The sequence below is a fragment of the Homo sapiens genome, chromosome 12 (genome assembly GCF_000001405.40).
Source record: "Homo sapiens chromosome 12, GRCh38.p14 Primary Assembly".
NCBI classification, from domain to species: Eukaryota; Metazoa; Chordata; class Mammalia; order Primates; family Hominidae; genus Homo; species Homo sapiens.
Genome location: NC_000012.12, coordinates 100953393 through 100978920, shown reverse-complemented (window position 1 = coordinate 100978920; position 25528 = coordinate 100953393). Strand labels below are relative to the sequence as shown.

The window sequence follows — 25528 nt, the reverse complement described above, 5'->3', positions numbered from 1 at the left end:
TCAGTTCCAAAGGCCTTTAAGACACCAACACCTAAGAAATCTACTGTTGAGTTATAATACAGAATCAATTTTAAAAAGTCAACTTCCTCACCACACCTGTATCTCCTCTCGATTTCCAGTCTTCTTTTACCTCCAACAATATTTTCCCTAGCCCTTAGGTGTCAGAACCTCATTCTCCTCAACTCTGAATTTCCAAATAGCTGCTAAGTGCTAAGCCCTTTTGCCTATATTTCAGAATATTTCTCACATGCTTTGCCTTTTTGCTCTAGATTATTTTTTTATCCATCCAGGGGGCAGAACTCCAATCAAAGAGTGAAAACTAAAGAGATAGAGATTATAGCTTATTTTAAAGAAGAACTTTGTAACAGTCACAGCTGCCCACAGATGGGCCAGGGAGTTTACTATCTCCAGAGATGTTCAAACATAGACTGGCTGACCAGAAAGCAGAAGTTTAAGTATCTGATGAATGGTTGGACTTGATGGCATTTAATATCCCATAAAACCTTGAGATTCTATAGTTCCTTTTATCACTGTTTTCTTTTAAGCCCTTATTGTCCATCCCACCCCCACTGTTTGAGCAAATGTTTTCACCCCAAGGCTGTGTCTGAAACTTTAGGCAGACCTGGTTTTTCTATGCTTCTTTTCTTCGTGATTTCCTTTCTCCCTACTCCAATCCTCATACACGCATGTGGAGATTCATTTGTTCATTCACTCCATCTCCTATGTGCTTGGTGCTGGAAATATAGAATTGAATGAGTCATCCTTGCCTTCAAATACCACCCAGGTAGAGAGCTAGACACCTACATCATAGATTACAGCACAGGGTGATGGGGCCATAGGATTCTAATGGAAAAGCAGAAAAGAGATCATTTGACCTGGGCAAAAGGCAAAAATGTGGACTGAGTTTTGAGGACTGAGTAGACCTCACCTTGGTGAACAATAAAGGAAAGGATCTTCCAGAAGGACCACTATACGCAAAAGCACATAAACCCACGTGAGCATAACATATGTTTGGAAACGATGAGCTCAATATGGATGGAGCAAAGAGTGGTGGGAGGGAAGCGATGGGCGAGGACAGTTTATAAAGGGCTGTAATTAAGCTAATGCTTTTAACCTTATTGTGATCACTCTATGGTAGCCACCAAGTGACAATAATCAGATTTGCTACTCAGGAGATGAATAGAAGAGAGTTTGGAAGGGGTCAGAAAGGAGGCAGGAAGATAAACTGATGTTTAGGCAAGAGGTGATGGGAGCTCAGCCTAAGTCAATGGCAGTGGGAATGAAGAGTAATATATAGACTTTTAGAAATATTCATCTGCACCCGCAGAATTTGAGAGACTGACTAGATGAGCAAGCAAAACATCCAAAATGACCCTTAGGTTTTTTTTATTTACATTTTTAGAGATGGGGCCTCACTATGTTGCCCAAGCTAGGCTTGAACACCTTGACTCAAGTGATCCCACTGCCTCAGACTCCCAAGTATCTGGGACTACAGGTGTGTGCCACCACACCTGGACCCTTAGGTTTTAAATTAGGTGACTGTGTGGGAAGTAGAGCCAATGCCTGTATAGAGAATATAAATGGAGAAAATGACTACTTGGCAGATAAACTCAGAACAGTTAGTGGACTAGTTGCTAGAGGATAGAAGAAAGGAGAGACTTACAGATGGATAACAAATTCAGAAGCACGACAGAAAGAATAGAAGGATACCCTTCTGCAAAGACATAATTATTACATGTAATTATTAATTATTACATGTATTAATTATTACATGTAATAAGTATTAATAGATACTATTTGTGCACATCAGCTACATACTAGGCACTAAACCTCACATAAACCATACAGGGGAGAAGTTAATATCATTTTATAAATGTGAAAAACTTAGGCTCAGAGAAGTGAAGTAACCTGCCCAAAGTCATCCAGTGCCAACATAGGTTTTATGACCCCAATGTGCTCTGTTCCACACATACTGACTTTGCTGACTTGGCAATTCCAAACAAGAATAAGACTTCTCCCAACCCTACATTCTTTTTAGAATCTAGAATACTGAAACAGTATCATGTACAAACTTGATATTTCCACTTAGCCCTCAAAGTTGGGAGAAACCTCTCTTCACCTTGCTGTGTTTCCTTCAGGTTTTCTTTGATATTGGTTTTTGTTTTCCCGTCCCATAGTCAGTCAAATCCGTATTTTAATGAGAAGATGGAGCTTGGCCTATCATACAGACCAATGGTTTCCAAAACATCGTCCCGTGACCAGCAGCATTAGCTGCAGCTGGGAATCCATTAGAAGTGAAAATTCCCCATCCCCACTGCAGATCTACTGAACAAGACACTCTGGGGTTGAGGCCTAGAAATCTGTGCCTTAACAAGGTGATTCTGATGCTGGCTGGAGTTTGAGAACTATTAATATAGGCTAAACTGTTATATCAGGATTGTACAGATGATTACAGTGTGACAAGGTAGCAATCTAAATCATGGTGAATCCAAATGTCATGTCAACTGCTTAATGAAAGAACTGCCAATAAGCTTGCTCGCAGGCAATTTTTGAGAAACAACATTTTCACTTCTTTGGAGGTCAGTTCTCACACTGTACTTCACTGAGTAAACATGCATTTGAGTAAACCCACCATAATGTACCAACTACTCTTTTATTTATCACTCAACATAGCATATAAACAGAGGGAACCTGAATTCTAAATTTCATAGAGTTGAACTAACTAGGATTTTCAGAGAAATTTACTAGTTTCCCAGTTTAACCATCAGCTCAGCTCAGCTCAGGGTGAATGAAAACATAAGATCAATTAAGATTTTGAAATTAGATTCTCCAATGATCACAACAGAATCAAATTAGAGGACATCATCATTGATGCATTCCCCTTCTCCCTAGCTCCTCAAAAAACAAGGAAAAACAAGCTTTCGGAGGATACAAAGTATAGTAGATGCAATCTTCATCTGGTGGGTTTTTTTTTTCTTTTTTTTTTTTTGGCAGAAAAGAGGGTAGGAAGGGCACCTGAGTGAGGCTATACATCTGCATATGTTATTAACAAAATATTACTAACATAGGAGGACCCCACTCATGAAGTCAAGTAGCCAGCAGCTAAGGATGACTATCTGCACTTCAAGCTTTCAAATTACATATAGTGGAGGGAGGAATTTTTGTAGAAAAAAATAACATTGGCCAGGCGTGGTGGCTCACCCTGTAATCTCAGCACTTTGGGAGGCCGAGGTGGGCGGATCGCCTGAGGTCAGGAGTTCGAGACTAGCCTGGCCAACACGGTGAAACCCTCTCTCTACTAAAAATACAGAAATTAGCTGGGCGTGGTGGTAGATGCCTGTGATCCCAGCTACTCAAGAGGTTGAGGCAGGAGAATCGCTTGGAGGCAGGAGAATCGCTTGAACCCAGGAGGCGGAGGTTGCGGTTAGCGGAGATGGTACCACTGCACTCCAGCCTGGGTGACAGAGCAAGACTCTGTCTCAAAAAAAAAAAAGAAAGAAAGAAAGAAAAAGAAAAAAGAAAAAGAAAGGGAAGGGAAGGGAGAACATCTAGGCCAAAGATATTGGGATTTTTGATAATTTATCTAATAGAATGGGCTAAAAAGAGGGGGCGAGGGATGAAAGCCTGCACATTGGGTACAGTATACATTGCTCAGGTGATGGGTGCACCAAAATCTCAGAAATCACCACTAAATAACTTATCCACGTAACCAAAATCCACCTGTTTCCCAAAAACTATTGAAATTAAAAAAAAAAAAAAGAATGGGCTAAAAAGCAATAGCCCCAGCACACTTGCAGATGAATGGCAATCCCCCCAAGTGGGAAGAAGTTACTGGGAAGACGCGGAGAGGGACGTTTTCATCTTTTTTTCTCCTCAGGCTAATCAGACACAGCTGATTTTAAAATGTGCATGGCAGCCAACTTTCCCATGTGACACAGGCTCATCTTCCCCAGCTTATAGCTCCTTGTCATTGTTGGAGCACACGGGCCAACAGAAAGACAAACACTGTCAGGACAGAGCGTGCTACTAACCTGCTCATGAACTTGTAACGGCGGGGCAGGTAATAGATTTTTCTCCTGGAAGAACAGCAAAAATGAAGCCAGTCGAGAAGAAAACCCATCGTCAGTTACAGTTTGAACTAGCAAGGAAGGAAAGGAGATTGAAGATAGAAGCCTGTAAGAGGTGAAGAAGAAAAAACTAAAAAGAGATTAACAGTGAGAAATACAGTGGGAACACAGGGCATGCGTTTTTGAGTCATGAAATCTTATGAAACAGTTTCCATTGATATTTCTTCCTCTACCCATTACCATAATTTTTTTTTAATGGTTGCTCCTTGCCTACAAAGCATGTGCAGTATGATAATTTGGAGTGATTGGTATTTGCACAGCTTCAGCTGAGGTCAGCTTTTTTCCCCAGGAAAATGCAAAGATGGATCAGAGGGCAACATACATAATTTAGTGGGCACGCTATTATATTAACTAATATTTATATAGCATTTTAAGTTTACACAAGACACGTCTCTCATGGTATAGACAGGAGTAATATAAATATAAATAAATATATATATATGTATTTCACAACCAGTATGGGAAGGACACTCACTTGTCAGCATCAACACCCAGCTGTACATAACCACACCGGGGCACACTGGCTAACCACTGGCCCTGGCTTTAGATGAATTAAATAAGTAAAATCAAGGAATTCTGGAAACTATACAAAAATCAGTCTTATTCTGTCAGATTGCTATATATCTATCTTTTAAAAATGTTAAAAATGAAAATTCTTGGTGTAGTTTGAATGGAGAATACATGTATTAGATTCTTTATTAAAATGCAACCTCACTTTCCATATTTCAGGCTTCAACCGAAACTGAATGGAATAATAATGAAACAGGTGCTTTTTATGTATATCCCGAACTGTTACTGAACTCTCTGACTTCTGTAAATGGTAAGTTTATATATCACCAATTTTTTTGCGTATTTGTGAAAGCTTTAAAACACAGGCAAAACTATAGAGACAATAAAAAGATCAGTGGTTGCCAGAGGTACAGGTCGGGGGAGAAGGAAGGTGATGAAACACAGGAGACTTTTAGGGCAGTGCAGCTACTCTGCATGATCCTGCAATGGTGGATACATGATATGCCTTTGTCAAAACCCACAGAACCACACACACAGAGTCAACCCTAGAGTAAACTATGGACTTTAGTTAATAAGAATTTATCAATATTGGTCCACCAACTTTAACAAATATATCACGCTAATGCAAAATGTTAATAATAAAGAAACTGTAGGCTGGGGGAGAAGGGGTATATTGGAACACTAGTATCTTCTCAATTTTCTATAAACCTAAAAATTTCTCTAAAAAGTAAGGTCTATTAGTTATAAAAAATATCCATGGACATATAAGTATTTAAGAAGCAGGTTTTACTGTAATTTCTCATAAGAAATCTATTCCTATATTTCCTTTTAAACATTATAGGGATAAAAATCCATGGAGACTAAACTTGGGATTCAGAAGTACAGAAAATTATGAATCTACAGAAAATTATGAATACAGGTAAGATTCTTTGCGTATTAAAATTCAGCTAAAATGATGTTTGTACATTTTGTTGAAATGATGTAGTAGGAGAATTCCTCCTTTGGAAATGCATGTATCTCCTTAGACTAGAGTTATTTGTCTGAAACTGTGGACACAATAATAGCAAAAGTTTTTAATCCATCAGGTTACAACAAGTGAAGCCATGTTTAGTAGGTAAACCTACATCAATATTAATGAGGTCAATTAGTGTCACACATTAACAATATTTTCTTCTAAAATTGTCCTGCAGGAATTCCTATATCTAAAAAGAAGATAATTGTTCATGTTCATTTTCATTTCATTGCTTGGTTCACATTCTCTCAATGCTGCATTAAAACAGTATTAATGCTGCTTGGAGGCAGCACATTTCTGCTGTGTAGTAGGCATGCAGAAGTGTTATTCATGATGTGGCCAGGCCCTTCAGATACAAAATCCTTTGCAGGTAGTAAGAGAATTGGCTTTGCATTACCATTGCTCAAGTTTCTATCATCTCCCTGGGTTCTTTGTTACAGAAGTGTGTTCTGGCAGAAGGTTTTATGAGATTTATTTATACTGGAGAGGGGTGTATAAATTTCTATCTAGACATATTTTGTAGGGTTTTCTTTCTTTCTCTTTCGGTTCTTAGGTATAATATGGTATTAATCCACATTAGACACTTATTATATCATTGATACATATTTGGCTTTAACTATTATAGTATAAAAATTTTCAGTGGAATCTAAATTGACATTCCTTATCTCTCCCTAGTGGATATATATATGTATTCCTTTTTTTAATCCTTGAGTTCTCAGATTTTCTTTTTAACAGTTAAATACAAAAATAAATCATAAGATCAGAACTATATTTATTATCCATTTTGAGAATTTTGCCTCCAGGAAAACAGATGCTAGAAATCATAGCCTCTATTTTGACTTGGTATTAGGACATACAGGCCAATGAACAAAGAAGATAAGATGCACCAGGGAGATACATTACAAGCCTGTGAATGGAAATTGCCTTTCTCTAAATGAGTCCCTAACCCTTCTCTCTGTCTCTATAAATGTTCTTTGTCTCCACAACTTTCCACAGCTCATTAAGAGACAGACTGTAGAGTTGGTACCAATTTGCCTCATTTCTGTCACCTAATGTGGTCTTACTGGCAAATTGCAAACCAAAAGTACGTTATTCTTCGAGTCCCCTCAGAACTGTCCTTGGGACTACATCCATCCATCTTTTTAGCAGATTCCATTACAAAAGACCCACATATCTTGGCATTTCTAATTTGAGGTTTAATATTTTATTTCTGTATAGCAAATGCAGATCACTTTTCCATAATCCATAGGGAAAATAAAAATATTCATTGTGAAATGAAGGTAAATTAATCCTTTTAAATAACTAAGGAATACAAAGTATTTTCTATTCCCCTTGGAACAAATATCAATATTCGTGTTTGCAAAGTATTTATGACTTTTTAAAATTAAAAAAAGTGGTTTTTTTTGTTTTTTTTTTAAAAAGAAGATCACACTGTCATGAAATTTCTTGCACTTGTATCTACAGAAATACATTTTAATGTTTTTCTGGAAGAGACTAGTCAGTAAAGAACATGAAAACATGCCCCTGTGCAACTGCTGCCTGTGGTCTGGCTGTTCAAAGCAGCAGTACACAGGACTTCTAAAAATGGCACTTTGGAAATAAAAATGCCACTTGGAAAATGCTTCTTTATTACAGGCACTGGAAATATCTACCTGCTAAGAACTAAATTAGCCAGAATTTTTCACAAAAAGCCATGAAATCATTATTGGCCATGAAGGCTTATTTGCATATCCTAAACATTTGAAAGATTCCCTCCTCTAATGGCCTTCCAATCTGCATTTCAGTTTTATTTGTTCTGAGAGAGGAGAACATTAGATTTACAGTGAAGCAGCAGAGAGAGTGGAATAAAATACATTTCCACCTACCTGAAAGGCATTCTTACATTCATTTGTTCTGCATATCTTCCAAGGACTTCCCATGGGGCATGCAACTTCACAAAGATAATGTCACTATTTATTAGAGAGGACTGAAACAGAAAAAAGAAACTAAATTGAAAAGTATATTCAAGGCTCCCACAGTTTAAGTTGAGTTGGAACTTAGAATGCATGGACCTGGACAGAGTTTATGATTTGGGGCATTCCTCACCAATAGGCCAGACCCTTACAAGTGCAAGTATTCATTTAACAAACATCCCACTGTGTGTGTGGCACTCATGTCAGCTGGAGACCCAGCTGTAAACAAGGGAGGTATGAATAACATTTACATTCTACAAAAATGTTAAAGAAGATAGGCAAAAACAAGTTGAAAAGCAAGGATAGGCCAGGCGTGGTGGCTCACGCCTTTAATCCCAGCAGTTTGGGAGGCTGAGGCAGATCACCTGAGGTCAGGAGTTCGAGACCAGACTGGACAACATGGTGAAACCCCGTCTCTACTAAAAATACAAACATTAGCTAGGCATGGTGGCAGGTGCCTGTAACCCCAGGTACTGGGGAGGCTGAGGCGGGAGAATCGCTTGAACCCGAAAGGTGGAGGTTGCAGTGAGCTGAGATTGTGCCACTGCACTCTAATCTGGGCAACAAGAGGGAGTCTCTGTCGAAAGAAAGAAGGAAGGAAGGAAGGAAGGAAGGAAGGAAGGAAGGAAGGAAGGAAGGAAGGAAGGAAGGAAGGAGAGGGAGGGAGGGAGGGAGGAAGGGAGGGAGGGAAGACTCAGATAATATTGAGTGTTCTGAAGATAAAGTAATGACAGAAACAGTTATGGGAGGGGGCTACATACTCATCTGGACAAGGGGTCAAGGAAAGTCTCCTCTGTGGAAGTGACATGTGAGCTGAGACCTAAGGAGGAGAAGGCACCAGCTGGGGAAAGAGCATGGGATGAGCGCTCTGGGTGCAAAGGCCCTGAGCTGGGAAGCTTCCTGGTATGTTGAGGGAGAGAAAGAAGAGCAAAGGGCTAAGGCGTACTAAGGAGGGAAGAGTGGCATCAGAAGAGGCTGAGAAAGTGAGCAGAAGACAGGACGTGCAGCGCACTTTATTCTAGGAACACTGGGAAACCACTTTGATTTAGGTTGTCAAAGGTCACTGTGGCTGTTTCATAGAGAATAAATGATGAGGGAGAAGAAGGAATGTTCTCAGTCATCCAGGCAAAAGCAAAAGTTGGTGGTGGTGGAGATGAAGGGAGCCAAAAGATGTGAGATTGCAATCTGGGTGGGTGACTGGCAAAGCTTTTTGAAAGAGCTGTGTTCTTTGGACAAAGACCTTTGCCTCCTTCAGGGCTTTTTATCAACCCAGAACATAGGGAAGTAAAATTAGGACTTCACACCCCAGTAACCATCCAACAGATTTTGGTCTATGCCTCTGGACAAAAGGACATGAAAAACCAATTAGGAGATTTCTCTTTGGAAGTCACTTTCCACAAGGAGGGATCAGTTGTAGAAGGAAAGTGAGAAAATATGAGCCAAGCTAGTTTAAATTAGTAAAGTGGCCAATTACTTATCCCCATCTTTCTCATATAGGATTGATCTGGACTGCATGGCATTTAAGTTTTTATAGTTTAGGAATGTTGACAGATATGTTAGGACTTTGTGCTTTGTGGCTAGACTTTCCTTATACTAGTATTGTATAACAATCCTTTGTTGTTTCTTCTTGTTGTTTTTGCACAACTGACAAAAATAGAAGCTCAACTTTTTCCTCTAGCTGGGGTAAATTTGCACTCCGGGAAATTGTTTTCAAATTGCAGATGGATGTAAAGTTGTAATTCATTTATGATACTTTAATTCAGAGTCTTTTTGACCTGAATTATAAACATTCAAGGGTTATAAATACTCTACACAAATCAACTCATCAAGATATTATGAAAATCAAACTGGCATCAACTGCAGTGTTCTCAGAGACTGGTGTGATGCTGAATTTCCTAAGGGTAGGAAGGCCAGGGCCCATCAGTAGTGGGAGGCACTCTCTAATATTGGTCTGAAAAGTCTAACTTTCTGGCAGTTCAGGCTGAAATGAGGTTTTATCTTCTGGCTTGGGACAAGTAGTGCCCTGAGTATAACCCTCCTGAGAACAAGGAATATTTCTGTTATTCATAGTTGGATCTTTTGGGCCTAGCACAGTGCTTGGCATGGAGGGACCACACACACAATATTTATCTAATCCATGAACATGATTAGTGAAATGTGGGCCGTTAGACCTGGCCTAGGTGGATATTGTGATTCCTGTGAAGCAGGAAGTGACTGTCAATGAAGTGACTCTTAGAGTGAACACTGCAGGTTACTGCAAATGAGGTGCCTGTCCAGGGAGTGGACAAACCAGTAACAACTGAAAATTTGATGGCCAATGCTTTGTCTCTTTGTAAACACTGTTTTCTTCTGTTGAGTAACCTATTATGGTCAGTCCTCCCGGCACAGCTGCTTAGATCAGAGCTAAGTAGTTAGGGGTATGTGAATGAGCTCACAGGCTGCGATGCCCATAGAGAACATACAGAAACATCACACACACACAGTCAGTCCTGCCCCATTTCATGCCTGTGGACGCAATGATGCCTTGGGGATCTGAAATGGTCTCACAGCTTTTCAGCTGAGCATTTGTTGGACTTCAGAAAAGATTGCCGCTTGCTTTTCAATACATAGTACAGTTTTCCAAGTTATAAAGCAGAAGAAAGACTGTATTTCCTAAAAATAGTTCTTTTTCTTTATATGAAGATATACTTCAGATCTGGGAAGGCTTTGTGGCTTCCTAAGTTGGAAATTTTAATCATGATAATGGGATTTCTTTAAATTCACTTAGCTTTCCTATAAGGTTCTATATTCACTCATCTTCCTATGAGAGAAAGAGTAAAATTGGGCAACACCGAAGACACTATATGGAAATGTGATAGAGTCACTGAATTAAACAAATGATTTAGAGCAGAATATAGCGCTTAGAGTATACTCTCTCCATAGATTTACTGTAAGTGTTAGGTCTTACAGAAAATAAACAATCTAGTGGGAAAATAATCATTTGAAGACTTTTCATAAATGTATGTAAACATTAAAAATATATTAAAATATTCCACTCAGAGAACAATATAAATACATTTCTATATGTAGAAAAGCTAAGTTCATTATCTGAACACATACTGAATCAACTAAAATTCTGACGTGGGATCTCAACCATTTTATGCATAAAAGGATAGCTGTTTTGATTTATTCAGCTGGATAAAAATCACTTATTATTTAAATAATAACAATATTATTTATTTATTATTTTTCATGTTTTGCAATTGTCAAAGCACATTCACATGTTACCCCATCTTATTCCCATATGAACCCTGTGAGAGTGGTTTTCCTTCAGTTTCTTAGAGGAGGAGAAAGAGAGGTGACAAGTGGCTCACCCACAGCCAAACTGAATGTTTACCCCAGACAGAGCTGATTCCATACCCTCACCTTTTAACTTCCTTTTGAATTATACCTGATAACTTCTGAAGTTTAAATAAATCCATGGCTTTGCAAATGCATTTAAGATGCATAGACTGAATTGTTGCTTTATCAGTTTATACAAATTCATCTTAAAAGAATTTCATATTTTAGAAAACAAAGCAACAAAAATAAAGAGGCTTTCCTTCATGTAAAGCAAACTTAAGTTACTAATGAACTGTGATTTTATTTGGGGCTATTAAAGGTTTTTTTGATTATCTTGAGAAAAAATATTACCTGAATTCTCTTGAATGGCGATGAATATCTATGAGTCCTCTGTGTGTGTGTGTGTGTGTGTGTGTGTGTGTGTGTGTCCTCTTTACATACTTAAGGGAAAATATAGTGTATGGGGCTTATTATTTATATTCAGTTTTTCAAGGAAGAACTGAGAAGGCATTACCTACTGCTTGTTACTGAATGCCTTCTGAACTTCAGCCCTGAGAAATAAATGAGAAACAGATGATTGCTAATTATATGGCCCATAAATCATTCTTTTCTCTACTGCCAAATGATTACACCGCTGTTTCTAGATAGGTCTTTCCTTATTATTAAGTATTCCTTGCCACATAAATCCAAGTGCACAAGAGCCAAAGTGAAAAGAAATGAAAATGATTTTTATGAAACATAGAGTTGTTTCATTAATATACTGCAATACAAATTCCTGGGAATAAAACCTTGGGGAGAGAAAAATTACCACTTAGAGAAGTTTGGGAAAATATTCTTAGAAAAATGACTGAGAAAATTAACGAGTATCATGGGAAATTACCTGGAGTAAAAAGAGATAAGATTCACACACAAAATTTTTTTTTCTTTTGTTCAGCAAGAACATACTGAAAACCTTCTATTTAATAAATTTTGGTCCATGCCTTGGTATGTAACAGTCACAGTCCTTGCAACAGTAAGGCAGGAGAAATGCCATGCCACTATCTAATCCAAGCAGTCCATCTCTCAAAGGAGTGTGTATGCATATATATATGTATGTGTGTGTGTGTGTGTGTGTATGTGTGTGTGTATATATATATACATGTGTGTATATGTGTGTGTGTATATATATGTGTATATATATATGTGTGTGTGTGTATATATATACATGTGTGTGTATATATATAGTATAAACACACACATCTCCACATCTCATGATTCCTGTTGCCATTTATTGAGAAGAGGAAATAGAGACAGACCAGGTTTGGGCATGGGGGATGGGGGTACAGAGGTAGATCATAAACTCAGTTTTGGAAAAGTTAAGTTTGACATGCCCAGGAGAAGATGTCTTGTGGGTAGTTAGACAAATGAGTCTGGAGCTCAGGGTAGAAGTCTGGGCCAGAGATACAAAGCAAGTGTGTCCAGGATAAACATGATATTTAAAGGGCTGGTAGAGGCCACTATGGGAGTATAGGTACAATGCCATGTGGGCATCTGTGCCTCAGAGGTTAGCAATTCGGACTGTGAGGTTGGATTTCACATATTTATATTCATTTATCTACCTCTTACCAGCCCTGTGATCTTGAACAAGCTATTTAACTTCTCTGTGCCTCAGTTTGTTCAAATGTAAAATAGGAAATGATAGCAATGCATATCTTATTGAATCGTATTAAATGGCATAATGCCGTTAAGGTGCTCATAGTAAATCTAAAAATATGCTTGTTGTTATCTCCAAGAGGGGCCACATCATATTGGTGGTATGGTGAAAAGAACACAGCATTCCTACTCACTCAAATTATAACCTGAGAAGGTAATAAATAAGAAACCAGTATTTTGGAAGGATTTATCAGTCTTTGATGACAAGCCCGAACCACCAGAAATCCTGAGATCCAAGCACCCAATTCCTGTCTTTTTTCCCTCAGTATCTTCAGGGTTTCCTGCAGGTTCGTCTGTGACATTCATTCAATAACACCCAAAAATGTTCATTAAGTGGCTACTCTGTGTCAGGGACTCTTCCAGGTGATGGATATACCACAGTAGATAGGATTTACAATCTAGAGTGGGAGACAGACATCAGACAACAAATAAGCATGATGTAAAATTATGAAAAGTATTTAAAAAGGAAAAGAATATAGTTCTGTGGCAGAAAAGAACTGGAGGCACCTGATTAAGATTTGCTGGTTGATCTGTGATTAGGTGACTTTTATCCTGAAATCTGAAAGATGAGACGGTGTTAGGCATAGGAAGAGTCAAGTGAGAAGCATTCCAAGCAGAAGAAACAGCAAGAACAAAGGCCCAGAGATTGTTCCGGGAACTAAAAGGCTGGGGTGATTGAACATTGTAAAGTGTGAGGTGGAGAGAGTTACCTAAGATAGGATTAGAGAAGAGGGCTGGGAATGATCATGCCAGGCCAGGTACAATGTGGTAAGAAGTTTGGATTTATTTTCCAAGGCCAATAGGAAGCCACTAATGAGTTACAGGCAGGGATCACTTGTTTCCAAAAGTGCGTGCTGCATGTTTTGCAGAGAATGGTCCACAGGAAGCATAGGAGTGGGAAGTTCAATAAGAAAGTTATTCTAGTAGCCAGGTGAGACAAGATGGTGGTTAGAACCAGAACGAAAGGAGAAATAGACGGACTTGAGATCTAGTGGAGGTAGGTTTGAAAGAACTTGGGACTGAACAAATAAGGAGGGTGAAAAAAAAATCCCGTGCCTAGAATGATGAAGAGGTTATTTGGCCTGGGGAACTGGACAGATGGTAGTACTCTTAACTGCAGTGAGGGGCTGGAGCTGTCCAGTTTGTCCCAAAGTTGTGTAGGTGACAATGCACCTGTAAATCATGGTGGTCTTTGCAGATAGCCATGAATCCCATTGTGTGAACTGTAACTTAGCATTCACTCACACATCCACTCATCTATTCTGCAAATCTTTACTGATGGCCTGTGATGTTCCAGGGCCTGTCCTAGGTGCTGGGAATACAGCTGTGAACAAAACAGACCAAATCCCTGCTCTTGCGGAACTCAAGCTCTAATGGGGAGACAGACCCTCAATAAATAGACGTGTAATACTTCTGATGATGTGCTTTGAAGAAAAATAGAGTAAGAAAATAGAAAGTAATGGTGGGAAGGAGATGCTATTTTAGATAGAGTGGTGTGGACAAGCCTTTTGATAAGGTTACATTTGAACAGAGACCTGAAGAAATTACTCAGGGAGGCTGTTCTATTACACAGGGAGAGAGCATTCCAGTCAGTGAGAAGAGTAGAAGACAAAGGCCCTGAGGCATAAATATGCTTGACGTTTCAATTTACTGAGCGTGAAGGATCAAATCAGGTTAGCCACTTGCATCTGCTCTGTATCCCCTTAGGTAACTATCTGGGCATCACTTTCTCATAACTATACTGTTAAGAGGACAAAGCAAAACTCTAAAATTCTGGGGCTAGGAGGAGATATTAATTTCTAATTGGAAACTCAGATAAGCCTCTTGGATTAAAAAAAATCATAGTGAATGCAAATGAATAGTAATGATAGAGACGGGACCAGCTACATAGTGCCACTACACGTTAGGTGGTGTTTCAAAGCTTTTGCATACATTAAATCATTCAATTTTCACAGCAACCCCGGTATTATTATTATTCTAATTTATTGCAAATGAGGAACTAAAGCACAAAGAAGTCTGGTACCTTGGCTAAGTTTACTCAAGTAAGGAATGGAGCCTGGTTCTCATCAATGCAGTCTGGCTTCAGAACTGCTGTTTCACAAGAAGAAAGCTGAGAGGCTCACACTATGTATTTGCTCATGAACTCAATTCCACTGTAATTTTTTTTTGAAGGAATGCTTAATTATATATTACAGTCAATGCACAATGTATACAGTTGGCTTTAACATCCTAAAAATTAATGTAAGGCCAGTAGTAAGAGCAAATTTCAAGCTTGGTTCTGCCATCTGTGGGCACATTACTCAATTCATAAGCCTCAGTTTCTTCATTTGTAAAATGAGGAAAATAATATCTGCCTTGCAGCATCATTCTGGAGCTGTCATGGTTGTATAGTACTGGTTCAATAAGTGAGAATTTCTTTCTTCCACTCACAGGTACTGAATGCTTGGGGGACATTTGGGTAACCCCCAATAGCTGACACTAGAATTCCTTGATGTTTCTGGAATCTAGCCTGTGAAACTGATGGATAAGTGTACATTCCTCGAGGGTTAAAGGGCTCCTTTAACTCCTCTCAGTGGGGCTATCATCTAGCCAACTGTGTAGCACTGGGCAAATGACTTGTACTTTTATGAGCTCCAGTTTTCTCTAAAAAATGAGGGCACGTGTCTCTAAAAAGAAATTTTTTGCATCTGTTATTCTTTTCCCTTAGGGACACATTGGAATTTGTGAGTGTAGTTTACAAATGCTCTTCAGCTGATTCGGATGCAATTTCCTCTCTGCAACACATACACACACACACACAGACACACACACACACAGACACACACACACAGTGTCCTGGTGGAGAGAAGCCTCTTGAAGTACTATATGTTCCTAAATGATTACAATATTCATTCCCTGAAAGTGACATTAGTAACAGCAACAAGAAATTGGTGTGTGTGAAATTGCCACTCCCTCCCCCTTAGTAGACCTTTAAGTGGAGGTCCCTGAGGACTTCATCCAGGCTCTAGTCTCATTCTACCTGTCCTCCCTAGATGATCTCATCCCTTGTAATGGGTTTAGATGTCACCTATTAGCTGATATCTCCAAGACTCATATCTTTGGCCCACACCTCTCTTCTGAGCTCCAGATCAGTGTAGCCAGTGGTCATTGTGGCACCTGGTACCTGGTGTCTCACTGGCAGATCAGACACATCAATGTCTATAATGGATCTGCTTCACTGGCAAAATTGCTCTTCTTCTCAGTGTCCCCAGACCAGGAAATGGCACAATCATCCTCTTAGTAGCTCAAGTCCAGGAGCCATCTTTAACTTCTTTTTTCCTTATGTCATATCCAACAAATCACCAAGTCTTATTGATTCTACCTTTTAAACTTCTCTCTAATCTATCCACTTCTCTCCATCTCTACTGCCACCACCCTCCTTTGAGCAACCATCATCTCTCTTCTTGAATACTGCAACAGCCTCATGGCTGGGCTCCTTCCATTGCAGCGTGGATTGGGCCGAATGCATTAGATGAGTCCTTAAAAAAGAGCCTAGAGGTCAGAGAGATTCTCCTGCTCGCTTTGAAGAAATAAGCCACTGTGTTGTGTGAGGGTCTCTGAGGGGTCTCTAGAAGCTGAGAACTATATCTGGCTGAAGGCCAACAAGAAAATGAAGACCTCAGACCTACAACCACAAGGAAAACTAAATTCTGCCAATAACTATGCGAGAGGACCTTGAGCTGCAGAAAAGAATGCAACCTGGCAGACACCCTGGGGTGGCCTTGGAGGGATCCTGATTAGAGGACACAGTTGAGCTGTACCCAGACTCCTGACCCACAGAGACTGTGGGAGCATAAACATAGGTTGCTTGAAGCCTTGAAGTTTGAAGTAATCTCTTCAGCCGCGATATAAAACTAATGCAGGTCATATTCCAGCTAATGAATACTCTAATTATAGATTTCATTGCTGTCTTTGTGAGACTGTACACTTCTCCACAGTTGTATTCCCAGCACCCAGCATGTTACTGAGCACACAGTCATTGAGAAGGAATGCTTCCTAAATGAATTTATGAACATCTTGTGATCGAGACTTCGAGTAGCTTTCTCACATTATTGATTACCTTGTTAAAACACTATTATCAGGCAGAAAAAAATTCATCCTCTTACCACAGAGGTTTCAATGTGGCTAAATTTATGAGAAACTAAAGTAAACTCTCCTCTAGGCCACAATTAGGAGATGTTCAGTGCTGAGGGGCTGAGCACAAATCTTCACACATTTCATTAGAGGTTCTCTATGTTGCCATAAAGTGAATCCCCTGATGCAACATACTCTTTGTCACTTTGTACCAACCCTGGTGATCCCCATGTCAAGTCTGGAAGACTTACTTCATCAGGGTATCCAAGGAAAATCAATGTTTAGTGTAGCAGTCAGGATGGGCTAAGTTATGTTGCAGCAACTAATAACCCCCAAATATCAGTAACTTCAAACAGCAGAGCTATACTGGCAGTACAGTAGGCAACTGGGGCCATTAAACACTTAAAATATAACTAGTTCAAATTGAGATGTGCTGACTGTGGAAAGTACACACCAGATTTTGAAGACTTAGCATATATACAAAAAAAGAATGTAAAATATCTCAATAATTCGTATGTTGATCATATGTTTAAATGATATCTTAGATCTATTGGATAAGCAAAACTATTATTAAATTCATCTGTTTATTTTTACCTTTTATATGTAGCTCCCGAATATTTTAAATTACATTATTTCTATCGGCTAGTGCCATGATAAAGTTTATTTCTTGTTCATGCTACATGTCTACTGCAGGTCAGCTCGTTGCAGTGATTTAGTGGTTCATGCTGATGGGTCACTCTGCCAGAGGGAAGGCAGAGCTCAGAGGGCCTCATAAGGATACATAACACTTCTGTGCCCAGCCCATTGAACAGAAGTAGTCATATGGCTACATCTATCCACAAGACCACCGGCAGTGGGAGTATATCTGATACTGCTAATTAATACACCCTGATATAGACAACCTTCTTCCATCACCTTCTTAGATCTATTATGAAAAGCAAATGTTTTATCTGCCTCACAACACAATGACTCATAAAATCATTCAGCAAACACCTAAAGATGATTTAACTACTGTGCACTGTGTTGCCTAGTGCATAGGCCCTAATTGGACCCTCGGGATACAAAGAAGGTTAAGACATAGTTCAAGATCTCAGGGAACTCAAAATTCAGCAAAGCAATGATGACCCTAATTATAAATAATGTAATTAGTATGAACAGAGGTTGGTCTACTATCTATTGGGAGAGAAAATACTCCCTTTGTAGGTAATCCCAGTACTAAATCTCTCCTTAGAAGTAAGCAATGTCAGTTCTGATCTATAAAATTCCAAACGTCCCTTCACTTCTTACAGACCATCATAATGTTTTCCCTACTCTTCTAGATGGTATATGAGATAAACTGAACTTGGGGACAACTTTATCATCACAGTATACTTTTTATTATCACAAAACATCAACCCACTGACAGCCATTCACAGCTATGACCCAATCAGTAACCCATGAATCGCTATGCCCTTAGTACGCTGCAGAGATTAACAGCCATGAAATAAGCAAGACCCAGAAAAGACAGAAGAATTTGGTGTCTTCTGCTAGTGAGGAAGCAATTTAACTTTGGAAATACTTTCTTTTTTTACTATCTGTCTTTTTTTTTTTTATTTTACTTTAAGTTCCAGGATACATGTGCAGAATGTGCAGGTTTGTTACATAGGTATACATGTGCACTTGGGAAGGGTTATGACATCCCTCCTCAGTCTGTTATATTTATGTCTTGGTGAAATGCTGATCAAAATTAGAGGATGTTACAGGGCACACAGCGGTATAGTCTATCAAGTGTTTTTACCTAAAGGTTATACAAAACTGTCAATAAATGGGGCTCTTATGATTTTTAATAACAGAGAAATCTGATAGGTTATACCTCAACTCATATCACTTCCTCATTGGTATAATGCTGATATAACTACCCTCACCTACTTTATAGGGTGTGTGTGTGTGTGTGCGTGTGTGTGAATATGTATGTACATGTATATATAAAGTACATTTGAAAACATTTTCTGTGGGGGTCACTAGTGTGTCCCTGGCATCGGTTCTCCTCTCCTTCAGGCACAGGGAAATCTGAGCTCCTTAGCCCACTTGGGTAGGCAGGAGCCATATCATGAGCTCTAGCCATTGAGCTGTGAGCAGAGCCTTGAAGTCTGGTGTGTGATTTGTGTTTCCCTGCCCCAGAGGCAGGTGTCTGGATGCAGCTTCTGTTATCTGGGTCCCTGGTCGCAGCAAAGAGCATTCCTCCTCCTCCACTTCTGCCATCCTGAGATCAAAAACTAAACCCTGCTGCCTAAAGCCTCTGAGATGACAAAGCCTCGAGTGACAGGCAGAAGCTATATAAAGCTATGGAACTGGACAAAAGTCACAGGAAGATGGAGATACAGAAGAAAAGGGGACCCAGGATCAAGTCTTAAAAGACTAATATTTGAAGATCAAACAGAAGAGAAGGTGAGCAAAGGGGATTGAGAAAGAGCCAATGAAGAAGGAAGCAATCCAGGAAAGCATGAGATGTCACCAAAGCCAAGAGAAGCATGTTTTTCTCAAGGAAGGAATGACTCACCATGTGGAGGAAAGCTGCTGGTGAGGCCAGTAAGATAACAGAGACGGCATGACTGCTGGATTTGATCACAGGCCACCTTTATAAAAGGGGTTTCTGTGAAATGGTGAGGGAGAAAGCCCAAACTGAGAAGTTTGAAAACAGAATGGTAGGTGAGGAGATGGAGACAGGACACTAGACAAATCTTTCAAGAAGTTTTCTGTGAAGTGTAGAAGAGAAACGGAGTGGTCATTAGAGGAGAGTATAGGGGTCAAGAGATTTTTCATCTTGTGAGTTATGGGAGCATGTTTGTAACAACTGAGTAGAGAGGAAAAATGATGATGCAGGAGAGATAGAGGAAGACAATTACAGGAGCAAAGTCCTTGAGAAGGTGAGGTGAGAGGGGATTCAGCGAATAATAGGAGAGCTCCCGCGACAGCACACACAGAGTGGTGGTGGGAGGGAAGGTTGAGGGTGGGGAGTCACAGAAGATCCTGTCTGAGCATTTTCATTTTCTATCAGAGTATAGGCAAGGTTATCAGCAGAACTGTGTGTGTGTGTCTGTGGAGGGGGGTTGAGAGGGATGAGGGTGCAGAGAAAACAGGTGAGAAGGTTGATTGGGCAGAGAGAGGGCAGTGTGAAGTAACAGTGGGCCAACTCCCCCACCTATTCGAGATCTTGGTCAAACATCACCTTCAGTGAGCCCCCACCCAACACCCTATTTAAAATGACTATCCTTTTCCCTTAGTGCTCTCATACCCACACTCTGCTCTGGTTTTTCTTGTGCCATGTCATTTATCACCTTCTTTTTTGTTTGTTTGTTTGTTTTTTTGAGACAGGTTCTCACTTGTTGCCCAGGCTGGATCGCAGGGGCGCAATCTTGGCTCACTGCAGCCTCAACCTCCCAGTCTCAAGTAATCCTCCTGCCTCAGCCTCCCAAGTAGCTCGGACTACAGGCATGCACCAATACACCTGGCTAATTTTTTGCATTTTTTGTAGAGACAAGGTTTCACCATGTTGTCCAGGCTAGTCTTCAACTTGGGACTCAAGTAATCCTTCCACCTTGGCCTCCCAAAGTGCTGGGATTACAAACATGAGCCACTGCACCTGGCCCTCTATTTATCACCTTCTAACATACTGTATTATTTACTTATTTATTATGTTTATTGTTCACGGTTTCCCTCACTAGAATGTGAGTTTCACAAGGGTAGGGGCTCTCTGATTTGTTCACTGATGTATCCCAAGTGCCTTGAATTGTGCCAGGCACTATATGATTTTTTAATGATTGAAATTTTAAAATTGAATCAATGAAAGAAAGAAGCAAAGAGAGAGAGAGTGAAATGGGAAAAGAGGGAGGAAGAAAGTTACTTGATTTTTATAGAGAGGACGAAGCAAAAGTACCAGGCTCACTGAGCATTCTCTGGTACCTGTGTGAGACTGCGGTCATGATGTAAAGTGAACCAGTCAGCATGTTTTTTCCAGCAACATTAAATCACTCAGGGGTGGGCATGAACAAGATGCAGTTTAACCATGGTCGGGGCTTTGCCCGGCAAATAAGTCAAAGGAATAAAGGAGTGAGAGAATTCAGGTGCTTGTGAGTGGTCATGATGATGAACTACAGAATCAAAGCTAAGTAATGAGGGACATGAAATAATGATTTAAAAAAATGGTTGTGGCTGGGCATGGCTCATGCCTGTAATTCTGTCACTTTGGGAGGCTGAAGTGGGCAGATCACCTGAAGCCAGGGGTTTGAGACCAGCCTGGCCAACATGGCGAAACCCCATCTCTACTAAAAAAAATATATAAAAATGATGTCTTAGTTTATTTTGTGTTGCCACAACAGAATACCTGAGATGGGGTAATTTATGAAGAAAATATTATCATTTAGTTCATAGTTCTGCAGGCTGGAAAGTACAGGAAAGTAGCCGGGCTTGGCGGTGTACGCCTGTAATCCCAGCTACTCAGGAGGCTGAGGTGTGAGAATCGCTTGAACCTGGGAGGTGGAGTTTGCAGTGAGCTGAGATCGCGCCACTGCACTCCAGCCTGGGCAACAGAGCAGACTCTGTCAGAAGAAATAAAAATAATAAATTAAAAAATGGTTGGGATAATTCAACAGCAGGCTTATTATCACAGTCAATATACTCCCCAATGACATTTTTGGACAATTTAAACCCACTGGCCATGGTTTGGATATGGTTTGTTTGTCTCCACCATAACTCATGTTGAAATGTCACCCCCAGTGTGGTAGTGTGGAGAGGTGGGGCTTTGTGAGAGGTGTTTGGATCATGAGGGTGCTGCCTTTGTGGGTAGCTTGGTGCTTGGTCTCACTCTGGTGAGACTGCACCTGTTCCTGCAGGAATGGATTAGTCCCACAAAAGTAGGTTGTTATGAAGCCAGGACACCTCCCAGGTTTTGCCTCTCTTCGCATGTGTCTACTTCCACTTTGACCTTCTGCCATGATGTGACGAAGCACAAAAGCCCTCACCAGAGGCCGAGCAAGTGTTGGCGCTGTGCTTCCTGTATTTTCCAGCCTGTAGAACCATGAACTAAATGATAATATTTTCTTCATAAATTACCCCATCTCAGGTATTCTGTTGTGGCAACACAAAATAAACTAAGACATCATTCAAAGAAAGTTTCAGTTCCAAGTATTTAAGAGTTTATTTAGAACTCCCTTTCCTTAAAAAGAGTTAATTTTAAAAAGGCATTAAGGTACAGCTTTGCTATGTACAAATGGGACCAGAGAAAAAAAGGAAATGACAAACTAAAATTCAGTACTTAATTGATGGCTTAACTGTGTTCTGTCAACTAAGTAAAACATTATGTGACATAAGGAATCAAGACTAACAGTTTTTCACTTGACTGGAGTTTCTACAGATACGTGCAGTTGGGGGAGATCCCCTTGAACAATCAGAAGCAACAGCGAACAGCGAACGCCTGTAACAGGTTACCCTTTTATAACTATATGATGTTATCCATGAGTCACTGATAAAAGACTAGATTTCAGAAGATTCTTATTAGAGTCTGAGAAACTGAATCAAGGCAGCCTCAGATGAATGCCAAAGTGATTTACTGCTACACAATCCAAAAGAATATTCTGGCTGAAGAAAGGAACCTACAGACTGAGGAGGAAGAGAGTCCCCAAGAGGCGACATAATGCACTTCTGAAACTCTAATGGGCACAAGGTCTCACCACATGTACTTTTCTTTCCTGCCTGCTGGACTGCTAAGGTCAAGGAAAATCATGTGTAGTATAGTTTCATTTTTCTGCCTGCTCTACTCCTGGTCTTCTAGAAAACTCTTTTTAATTTCAACATGTGTAGAAAACAGAGAGAAAGAAGAATGGAGCTGAAAAACAAAGTACTCTAGTGAGCAGTAACACCACCTTCTTCGAAGACCATCATGATCTTGGCTAAGTTTGTAGGTAATGGCTGGTACAGTTTGTTTAGTAAAATCCTTGGCCTGAAAGAAATTGGCATTGAGATGATTCTTATTTAAATATAAGTACAGTGTGATGGATTTGGTTGTAAAGAGGCTAAATGATATTTGGTTGCAACATTTTGGAAAAAAATTACTATAAAATGCACATCTTTCTAGCTCTGTCATTAAGGTCTAGAACAATTGTATCTGATGTCAATTATGTTCATGGGAAATTGCTAAGCGAGCATATATAATGTGAAAGTCAAGATGACATGATGAGCCAGGCACTGTGGACTAGGGAGAAATCCGTGCAGTCCTCATGGGATTCACACTCTGTCTGGGAAGCAGAGGTGCACAGAGGAGCCCTAAGGCCTCAATTCAAAGTCTATCATGCCATCGTTTATGTTGTTTCCCATCTGGAATGCCATGCCCTTCTACTTTCTGACTTGGTGAATATCTAATCATCCTTTAAGTCCCAGGTCACCTCTCTTAACCTTCCTGAAATCTCTGCAGAGTATGAAATTCCCCAGGGCTTCCATAGAACTTTTCAAACTGTATTCTATCCGTTTCACATCTGCCTTCATTGCTAGTTAGTGAGCTCCTCAAATACGCTGAGCATATTGTGGCAGCTTATATTTTCCAAAGATGGCCCCAACATTACTGTTCATCCCACACATCTTCTAGAACCTTATGACTCTCCATCAAGAGGTGGAATCTATGTCCCTTCCCCTTCATTCTGCCTTTCCCAGTGGAGTACAGCAGAATAAATGCTTCTAGGGCTAGGTCGTAAAAGTTCACTTTTACCTTGTTCTCCTAGAACCCAGCCACGATGTCATGAGAAAGCCTAGGCAGCCTGTGAAGAGGCCCACAGCCCACAACCCTGACTGAGCTTTCAGCTGACAGCCAACACCAACATTCCAGCCATGTGAGTCAGCCACCTTAAAAGGGGGGTCCTCCAGACACTAGTAGTGCTGCTCCGACTGATGTCCTATGGAGCAGACGGAAGCTGTCCCTACCAAGTCCTGCTCAATTGCAGATTTGAGAGCAAAAAGAATGACTATTATTTTAACATACAAGTTTTGGAGTTGTTTGTTATACAATAATAGATAACTAGAACATTTATTTTTTATTCTCCAGTGCCTGGCACAATGCCTGGAACATAATAGACGCTCAATACACGTGTGCATGAGGATTGATACTCTCACTGCAGGGGCTGGACACGACAAAGGGAACCTTCTTTAATTCCTCTGTGGGCAGTTATGGTGGAAGGAATTTTTAGCTTGTCTTTCCTTGTTTCTTTTCCCTCCCCTGCATCACAAACACAAGGACATTTCCATAGGCAGGCTTGTGGCTGCTGCTGACTATCCAATTAAATATTGGGTCCCAGTGAATTCTGCTATGCTTTGAAAAAAGACAGTTGCCTAACGTTAGCATCAGAACAAAGATGTGGGTTTCTGGGAGGAACTCTGACTGGGTGATTTACTCAGCCATGCCCATGTTAAAAAACAGAAATAGCTGCTCCTCTGTCTCAAAGGCAGGTGTTAGATTTCAGACCTTACAACTTTTAAACCATCTGGGTATTACAGAGATGGGGCTAGCATAGCCTCAAATGAAGGGACAGGGAACAACCTGTTAGGAGGGCTGGTGGCTGCACTATATTGTTTGTTGTCACCTTAGCACCTCCTTCTGAGTCCTCTGCATTGCTGAGAAGCTGCGACCAGAACTTGGTTCTGGTTTCCCAGAATCCCCTTCTCCATAAAGTTCTGGGTTAAAGTGTACAATGATGGGTGCTCAGATGGAAGGTGGGAAAGGAGAGGCTGTTTCTCAGGCAGGTAGTTACAGGCAGATTTGAGGTTTGAAGCAGCTCCAGGTAAGTTTTGAGAATCATGTGCTGCAGAAGGGCATTAGTGAGATCCCAGTGGCTTCCACGCCGGCACCTGTGACCTGCTGCTGTGGTGCTTCAGGCTGAAGTGATGGGAGGTGGATTCCCTGACCTTCATGCCCAACCTTTTAAGTGGTCTTACAGTGCTGTAAAATTATTTATTGAACACTTCATTCCTGGAGGACACAGAGTGGCTTTCCCGCACAACCCTGAATGAAAGAGGGGCTAGGCAATTATAAGTACTAGGGAAGAATTTTAAAGAAGAAACTTTGGGTTTCTGGGTAGGCAAAAGTGAAGAGGTAGCACCCAGAATGAGAGTTCAACTGATTAATGGAAAAGGACAAGTTAGGGAGGTGTTTGCAACTAGGTCGGGCCTCTCCAAAATCCCAACACTGCTCGTGCACTTGACTTTTTTCCCTGTTCATTTAGATGCAAACACCAGAGTTTACCTCTATCCCACAGCCAAATCCAGCTATTCCCCCTGCTACCATACCCCCCCATTCAGTTACTCCACTTACTCTTCCTACACCCATGCCAGCCTGCATAGGAATGCACAAAACAAAGGAAACCCAGCAGTGGGAAAATTCTGCAATGCTTTAGAGAGTTGGGTTTAGACATGCAAATTCCAATTTCTCTTTGTGCTTAGTTCACCCATTATCATAGAGATTTTTCTTGAACTCCTGAAATGAAATAGTGACTCCTTCCCAGTATTCCTGTATATTTCTCCACAATACCTATTACATCTGATATATTTATTTAATGCCTCCCTTCCTTCAATAGTAGTAGATATTCATCAGACATTTGATGAATGAATGAATGAATTACTTCATCTGGAAATGGAGTTATTAGATACCACAGACTGCTCTTAAAATATGCCTAAGATACAACAGGAAGTGAGCTAAGCCAGGGCCCTTGCCTCAAGAGGCAGTGCTGCATCATCATTTTTGCAACTAAGGTATGTCAAGTTCAATTAATAATACTCAG

The 25528-nt window shown here is 40.3% G+C and overlaps 1 protein-coding gene across 17 annotated transcripts in view; it reads right to left on the bottom strand.

Annotated features, from left to right (window-relative positions):
- Window positions 1-25528, bottom strand: part of ANO4 (anoctamin 4) — a 411381-nt gene that overhangs the window by 149721 nt on the left and 236132 nt on the right. For 9 of the 17 annotated variants that reach the window (XM_011537912.3, XM_011537911.3, XM_047428305.1 and 6 more), the window contains 2 exons: window positions 7515-7615; window positions 4032-4076 (listed from right to left, as the gene is read on the bottom strand). In XM_011537912.3, the coding sequence (XP_011536214.2) occupies window positions 4032-4076; window positions 7515-7615 (146 nt within the window). Of the gene's footprint in view, window positions 1-4031; window positions 4174-7514; window positions 7616-25528 lie in introns of those variants that run through there. The other 8 variants (XM_047428302.1, XM_011537913.3, XM_047428308.1 and 5 more) reach the window with 3 other exon arrangements.